Consider the following 8763-nt stretch of genomic DNA (forward strand, 5'->3'; position numbering starts at 1 on the left):
CCTATGTCTAAATTAATAAGCTTAAGCAAAAGATTGTTAGTGGTTAACAACTTGGACTTAGAAGCTAGACTGCCTGGGTGCAAATCCTCTCTTTACTACTTATTCGCAGTATAACCCCTAGGCAAGTTAGTTAACTCTTCTGTGCCTCGGTCTCTTTATAACATGGGGACAATAATAGTGGCTAATTCATAGGTTGTTATGAAGATTAAATGTGATATTATAAAGAAAATACTTCCAACAGTGTCTGGCTCAGAGCAAGCACTAATATTTTACACCATATAATTGCCTAGGCATGCAATAAAAAGTTGAAGAGACTGAACTTCAAATGAAACAAACACAAAGTTATTGCAAATCCAAGGTCTGTTATGTAGAGGCTACCTAAAGATACATGAATAGGTTTATTCATTGAACAAGTAGTTAAGGGGTTACATACTGGGCTCTGGCCTTTGCTAGGAGAAAAGCATCATATAGGGTGAAAAAAAGAAGACAGAAATCTTATGACGTTAAAATAAAGGCACACTTTATGGTGAAGAACATGCAGTTATCTTTCCAGTTCAAAAGATAAGATAAAAAGAGGCACTGCAGCAAATATTAAATATATTAGCCATTTAAAGAGAAATTAAGAACAATGATTAAATGTTGAGAAACCCCTATAGAAGAAAATATTTTATTTTAAATACATAAGTATTGCATAATCTGTTTTCTACCACACATTTATGGTCATACAGAGAAAGATTTAAATGTAAAGATCCACATGACTCTTGTATTTCTTTAGTTTTTTTTTTTTTAACCTTAAGGCACATCAAGGAAAAACACCTTTTTATAAATTTAAATAATATATTTTATGGAAATACAGTGACAAATTTCATTAGAGATTTTTTTTATGACCAACTTACAGAAAGGGCTCATTATGAATAAATTCAGGGCCTCAAAAAAGCCATTTACAGAGAGAACCATTATCTCTGTAAGATGACCTAATTTATTCTAAAAGACTCCTAGACTGGTAGGAATGCTGTACACATTGATGAAGCCATTACAAGGCACTTTGGGTTAAATATGAATGACTAAATATACCAAAAACTACAGGTGTAAAAAAAGGGTTTGTGAGTTTAGTATGGGTGAAGTGTATGAACAAAGAAAAAGAACTGTTAGCTATTAAAAAAAAAAAAAAAAAAAGCTTGGCTCCCATGAGTTCAGTGTACTGCAGTGGAAACTCCTTCAATCTCACTAGACTCACAGTCTTTTGCCTGGGTAAAGGGCTATTAAAACTTAGAAGTAACTCATGTGCACTAATAATTACTAACAATGATTTCCTAAGGCTGTTTGCGTAGAATAGTGATTAATTTTATATAAAATAATCACTCCCCATTATTATCAAAACTGTTGTCAAACCTATGAAAAGAAACATTAGCACACATCTCTGGGTAGTTCAGAACTCTTTCTATTCAGCCCACATACCTAACTCAAACTGGCTTAAGAGAAAACAAAACAAAATTATTGAGGACAAAAGGATTTGCTAGGTCATGTAACTGGAAGGCTGGGGGTAGCCTAACTCAGATTTAAGCATAAATTCTCTCCATCTCTTAGCTCCGCCTTTTTTTGTGTTGGTTTCATTATTTCAGTTTTGCCCAGTGTGGAGGCAAAGATCACCACCAGAACCTCCAGGATTTCAACAATGAATGGTTTAGCAAGTCATTGTTGAAAGAATATGTCTTGTTCCCAATAGTTTGAGCAAAACACAATCCTTCTGGCCTGAATCTTTTACATAAACCTAAAGTCAAGTGGTGGACCTGACCACATGGGCAAAAAGTGGTGAAGAAGTGACTGCCCAAAGATAACACTAGGCTAGACAGAAAAAAAGGATAAAAAGTAACTAGACAAGCAAATCAACAGATGTCCACTAAACTTACTGTTTCAAATTGTTATTTCAATAATACTAGTTAGTTATTCATCACTTATGTATTAGCACCTCCTGTATGCTGAGTATTACCAGTGGTGCTGATTATACAGAATTGAAGAAGACATGATATCTCCCTTCATGGAGCTTACACTTTACTGTACGGTTTGAAAATTAGTTAAAGTAGTTTCTATGATGTTCAGGATTAAAATCCTGGTGAAATGAATATAACAAATACTTTAGATTTTTTTTTATTTATTGCTATTTTCTCCAATTATTATTTCCTTTGGTGGTCTTCAAAGTTACACGTTTGAAAAGTATTTTTTAATGTGGATGGAATCTTACTATCAATTACTTATACATTAAGAATCACATTATTAAATGTTGATTTTAAGCATGGTAATATATACTCACTAAAGATAATCTTTTTAATATACATGTTTCCAGTCCGGTTTCTGTGTATAGAATTTTTAACATTATTATACTTGCACTATGAATGTAATTTTGTAGCATGCTTTCTCCTAGTTATAAAATCTGTCCTATGTCATGACAACTCTATATAGCTACCATGTTAATGACTGTAATCAGTTCCTTCAAATAACTATATCACAACTGATTTAACCAGTTCCTAACATTGAACATTTAAGTTGTTTTCAATTTTTCATTATTATAAAGACCACCCTAATACATAAATCTTTTTTCTGAACTCAGGATTATTTCTTGAGATGTAGACCCACAAACAGAAGTTCTAGGTCAAAATATAAGAAACATAATGGTTTTTGGTATATAAAGCTAACCTGCATCTCCAAAGCAGAATACCAATATACCTTCTTACTGTCAATATAACAGTAAATATCCTAGTAAGAATTGAATATAGTCATTTAATTTTTTAAAATCTTGCTGTGTTGATGAGAAAGAAATTATAGACATGATTTGAATTTGAATTATTTGCCTATTCATGATGTTGAGTACTTTTTCATGACTTCCAAGCAGTTGCATTTTCTCTTATGATGCATATGCACTTTTTTTTTTTTTGAGAGACAGAGTTTCACTCTTTGGCCCAGGCTGGAGCGAAGTGGCGGGATCTTGGCTCACTGTAACTTCCGACCCCATCCCCACCCGAGTTCAAGCGATTCTCCTGCCTCAGCCTCCCCAGTAGCTGGGATTACAGGCGTCCACCACCACGCCCAGCTAATTTTTGTATTTTTAGTAGAGATGGAGTTTCACCATGTTGGCCAGGCTGGTCTCAAGCTCCTGACCTCAGGTGTTCCAGGCTTCGGCCTACCAAAGTGCTGGGATTACAGGTGTGAGCCACAGCACCTGGCCTCTATGCACTTTTAATACCTCAGCAGGTATTTGGAACTATGAGAAAATTATAACATTTAAAATAAACCAAAGAAGTTAACAAGTAAATCTCTCTCTTAAATGGGGTTTCCTTTGAGATCAGAAAGTTGTTACTCCTTTTAATACCTAGCCTTTTATTATATGTTTGTGATTGAATCCGATGACAGTGAAATCGAATTTTTGTTTTATAAGTTGGTTGAAAACCTAATCTTTCCTGAGAAACTATTGGCATTTTTGGAACTAACAACCACAAAACTCACCCAGAGCATTATAAATTGATTTGTTGGCTAGATTGAAATGCAGGTGTTGTTACTTGTATAGCAAATGTGGTGCATACTCAAAGAAACCATTTCTATTTCTTTGCTATTGAACTAAATATAAAACCAAATCCTCAAGGTTTCTGCACCTTGTTTTGGACGTAACAAAAATGAATCTCTATTGATTGGTTTCTGAATAGTGTTTCATAAAATGCCCTTAAGAATTTATCTTACCTAAGGTTAATCGAACAAACAAACCATAAACTCAATGGCTCAGATGCTGCTTTGTGGGTCTAAGGGTGAAGATGAAGGATTAAATTGCTGATCTTTCCAATGATCACTATAAACTGCTGCTATTTCTATGTACTGAAAAATTAGAAAGATGAAAATGGAAGACTGAAACTATTTTACGTGATCAAATAAAACACTTTCTCCTGTAGGGATGTGGATAGAGAAGATGACAGATTGTGCTGTCTTTTGGTAAAAGTTTCCTTTTCCACAGAGAAATTTAAACTAGAATATTTCTGAGAATTATTTCCTGTACCTTGGAGATGTTTGTGAGTGCCTGCAAGCTTGTCTTTCACCTAAGACAAATCAAAGGTCTCAGGTACAATGAAAAACTGAGCTTTACCTCAGTTTAACGTAAGCTACTATGTTGAATCTCTTCCTATTTTGCTACTATTCTGAAAGGTACGTTATAGTACGTTTCATCAAAGCTCTGGTGGTGTTATCTTAGATGAAATAATTTAATTTTTAAGGAATGTATTTCTTTACCACTATATCCTATAGATTTTTCTAATGGAAGGGAAGGAGGGTGGAGATTAGGTTGTTGTCATTACTTGTAATTAGGATATAAAGTTTTCCTAGTGAGGGAGAAGCATGTACAGATTCACACCATGAACAACTTAAGACAGGATATTGGCCAAAGCTAGAAAGTAGGCTGGGCGTGGTAGCTCACACCTGTAATCCCAACACTTTGGGAGGCCAGGGTGGGCGGATCACTAGAGCTCAGGAGTTTGACACTAGTCTGGACAACATAGGGAAACCCTGTCTCACCAAAAAAATATAAATGTTAGCCGGTCATGGTGGTGCACGCCTGTAATCCCAGCTACCCAGGAGGCTGAGATAAGAGGATCGACTGGGAGCTGCGGTGGCTCTGGCCGGTTGCCCTGGCGTGCAAGGAGGAGAGGCTATGCGTTCGAGGCCAACCTGGGCAAAACTGAATAAATAAATAATTGCCAGGCTCAGTGGCTCACGCCTGTAATCCCAGCACTTTGGGAGGCAGAGGCGGGCAGATCACGAGGTCAGGAGATCGAGACCATCCTGGCTAATACTGTGAAACCCCATCTCTACTAAAAACAAAAAATTAGCCGGGCGTGGTGACGGGCGCCTGTAGTCCCAGCTACTCGGGAGGCTGAGGCAGGAGAATGGCGTGAACCGGGGAGGCAGAGGTTGCAGTGAGCGGAGATGGCACCACTGCACTCCAGCCTGGGCGACAGAGTGAGACTCCGTCTCAAAAAAAAAAGAAAAGAAAAGAAAAGAAAAGGATCAATTGAACCCAGGAGGTCAAGGCTGCAGTGAGCAGCGATTATGCCCTCCACTCCAGCCTGGGCAAAAGAACGAGACCCTGTGTTAAAAGAAAAAAGAAAGTAGAAAGGATCTATAAGGTGTTTCTTATGACGTTTTATTTTCTTTTATTTTATTGTGCTTGGACTTGAGAGTAATTTTCATGTAAATTTCAGTATTTGTTTTGTTTTTATTTTTCCCTATGTTGCAAAAAAACGTATTTGTATGTGTGTGTGTACACAGAGAGAAAGAGAGAGAGAGAGAGAGAGAGGAAGGAGACCACCAACCCAAGGCTAGTGAGAGAATTACAGGGGGAAGGAACCAAGTCACAGAAATGAGGCGTCTACAACTTACGTTGGTTCTTGAGTAGGCTAGAAAATACTCTGTTTACTAGGGTGTACTAGAAAATGGAGATATCTGATATAGTTTGAAGAATAGTTGGCTTGTACCACTAAAAACAAACAAAATGTAAAGCATTTTATAGTTCTATTTTTTAAGATAAATAGTTGTACACATGTCACTGAACAAATAGAACAGTTAAAATCACAACACTGAAGATTTTTTAATGTTGTGACACAAAATTAGAGAATGTAGTGATAATAAGCTAGTTAATGGAAAACACCCGAGGTTATACATTTTAAATAATATGCTTGATTAAAATATAACAAATGAATAAAAGAGAAGAAAAAGAGAGAGAAGGCATGAAAAAAATGGAGAAGATGAAGGAGGATGGAAGAATGAATTAATTCAACTGGTTTTATTGAGTGGCTATTATGTGTTATGCACTGCATCAGGATATGCTCAAATAAACGTGAAAAGTGACATTATCACAGTAAGTTCAGGGTATGAGGGCAGCAGATTGGAGTGACAATTAGACAACTCAGAGGAGACAGGGCAGGGAGATCTTTTCAGAAATTTGACATATGAAGTGATGTGCAGGAATTTGTCAAGCAAGAAGGAAGGAGAAAAAGGCATCCCATGTTGGTAGAGCAACAAACACTGCACAAAGAAGGCAGAGAGCAAGATTTACATGATTAAAGCAGCTCTGTGTGGCTAGAAAAAGGAAAACACAATGAAAATGATGTTAGTTTTAGAGCTGATTAAGAAAAACACCATAAATCAACTTCAAGTCATCTGTCTGAGCCATGAAACTTAACAGGTGTCTTGCCCTACATGAGAAAGCCTAAACAAACACAACATTTCCTTCAATTAGAAGTACCAGAAACTGTGTTAAATTGATTTTCTAGGTCCCTGAAGCAAAAGACCCTAAAGAGTGGTGTTTCTAAGGTTATTAGTTATTCCGGTTTTAACTCCTTTTTTTTCAAGTTTTAAAATTTGAAATAAATTTGATCTTAAAAATAATAAAATAATGTACTATAGTTTCATATATATATATCTCATTTAATCCTCCATTTTCCAAATGAGAAAACTCAGAAACAAAAAGGATTTGCCCCAGGTCACACCATTAATCTTGCATAGAGCCTGGATTTAGGTCTTTGATGGCAAGTCTGTGGATCTGGGTTACTGGTTTGAGTAGATAATTGGAGAAAAATAAAAAATCAAAGCTATAAGATAAGAGTTAGAATTGGATGCTGGGGCATCTGTGAATTTTAGTTAAAAGAAATAGCAAACACTGGGAAAATCTTTAATACTGTCAGTTATGCCATACAACAAATAGACAAAACACACATTAAAAAGAAATATTTTCTCAGGTATCTATATTTCTATTTCATTAATAAAGTATATAAGAACTTTTAATTTTCAGTTATAGTGTATAATGGACACAAAGGATACAGGATGGAAAAAGAAAGAGAAGATAGTAGCCCATGAATATTTTTAGATTAAACTACATTAAACTACTTATCCACTTTACATTTGTGTTAACTGTGGTTTTGTTTATGTAAATGGATTAGGAGCAATTAACATTAAACAAAAGAAACTACACCCTTTAAAGCCTACTCCCTTTATGAAATGGCCTCATTTAGCCACTGGGCTCAAATTATCATTGCGTTATAGTGCTTCTGCAATCAACTAGTAACAGACAATACCCCTACAGTGGGATAATTCAAAGAAAATGAGTCTAGAAAATGCTGAGTTTAGGAAATTCCTAATTTCACCCTTAGAGTCTGGATTCAGATTGAGATGGGCCCAATATTTTGCCAGACCTCCAGATAGTGCTAGTCCAGAAGAAGTTCACTATTTATTAATAAGTACCTTTTATGTGTCTAGTACACTGCTGGCAGTATGAGAAAAATAAAATGAATAGGGGAGAACAATTGTGCCCTAAAAATGCATCACATCAAATCAAGGGTACATGCTCTCAAGGGTACATTACACTTGTTTTGAAACATGTTAAGAAGAAGAAAACCATTCAAAGGAAGATAACTAGAGAGAAATATTTAAATGCATTATTAAGAAAGAGTCAGGATTAGAGGGATGAGATTACTTGGCTGAATTCACATGGCTTATAAGTAGACAGGCCAAGACTCAAACCCAATTGTTCTGAATTCAAATTTATTATTTCTTTTTCCACTTCATTGGGTTATAATGGATATTAAATGAGGTACTATCTTAATGGTCCCACCAGTGGAGTGCTGAAACTTCTTGTCCTCGTTCACTAGAGTTGACTGTGCATGTCTTTCAAAATCTGTAGCTTGAAATCAGCTATGGTGGGAGTATTTATATCACAAAAATCATCAAATGTCATAAGTTAGTGTTTTCTCTAATTTTTTTTTCTGGAAAAATGCTGGTTGTTAAACATTGACCAAAATAACATTGGTTGTCTGTGCTATTTGTTTTGTTTTGTTTTAGACCTGAATAATTTTATTCCATCTCCTATGTGAACTTAAATACACACACACACCCCCACACGTTGTGTGTGTGTGTGTGTGTGTATATATATATATATATATATACATATATAATATATAATGTTTCATGTTCTTGTAGAAGAATTAAAACGAAGTAAACTTGTTAAGCCTAAGAAGTAAAAACTATCTGAAGAAGGTTTGGCAATCTGAGTAAAAACTACCTACAGTAAAAATGGAAGAATATAGTGAAGAAGGAAAATATACCCCATGAGTTATTGTCACAAAATATGTTATTTTGTTGTTGTTATTGTTGTTGATGATGCTGATGATGTTTTATTCATTTTTGTTTGTTTTGTTTGCTTGTTAAATGTGAAAAGTCTACTATGTCTGGAGCAGCAACTAGATATTTACCTTCTTAATATAGGTTGCAAAAAGAAATGTGCATTTCTAGAACCTCATGCCAATTTGTGAAGTACAAATGTAACAGTTACTGTAAATTAGAATGCTACATGTAATCTTTATTGTGTTTTTTTTTTTCATTTTTTTTTTTTTAAACATGGAGTCTTGCTCTGCTGCCCAGGCTGGAGTACAGTGGTGCAATCTAGTTCACTGCAGCCTCAAACTCCCGGGATTAAGCAATCCTTCCACTTTAGCTTCCCAAGTAGCTAAAGTTCCAAGTAGGGACTACAGGCATGCACCACCAGTTCAGGTAGGTTTTTTAAAATTTATTTATTGTAGACATTGGGTTACATGTAATACTTAAACTATGAAAATATAGAAGGAGTTCCTTCCTCCCTATCCCAGCTATTAGTTAGAGTTAGGGTTGGGGTATGAAAGGGAGGAAGGAACTCTGTCTATATTTTGATCCCTGTTTGGACGATACCCGTGT

At 35.5% G+C, this 8763-nt stretch overlaps 1 annotated feature.

The window, feature by feature from the left end:
* Positions 1706-2205: an enhancer, noted in NCBI's record as "H3K4me1 hESC enhancer chr18:28746843-28747342 (GRCh37/hg19 assembly coordinates)". NCBI's record gives its function as "activates a minimal SCP1, AML or CMV promoter by ChIP-STARR-seq in primed H9 embryonic stem cells {active_cell/tissue: H9 hESC(primed)}" and the evidence as "EXISTENCE:reporter gene assay evidence [ECO:0000049][PMID:30033119]".

This window comes from Homo sapiens, chromosome 18, assembly GCF_000001405.40.
Source record: "Homo sapiens chromosome 18, GRCh38.p14 Primary Assembly".
Classification (NCBI taxonomy): Eukaryota; Metazoa; Chordata; class Mammalia; order Primates; family Hominidae; genus Homo; species Homo sapiens.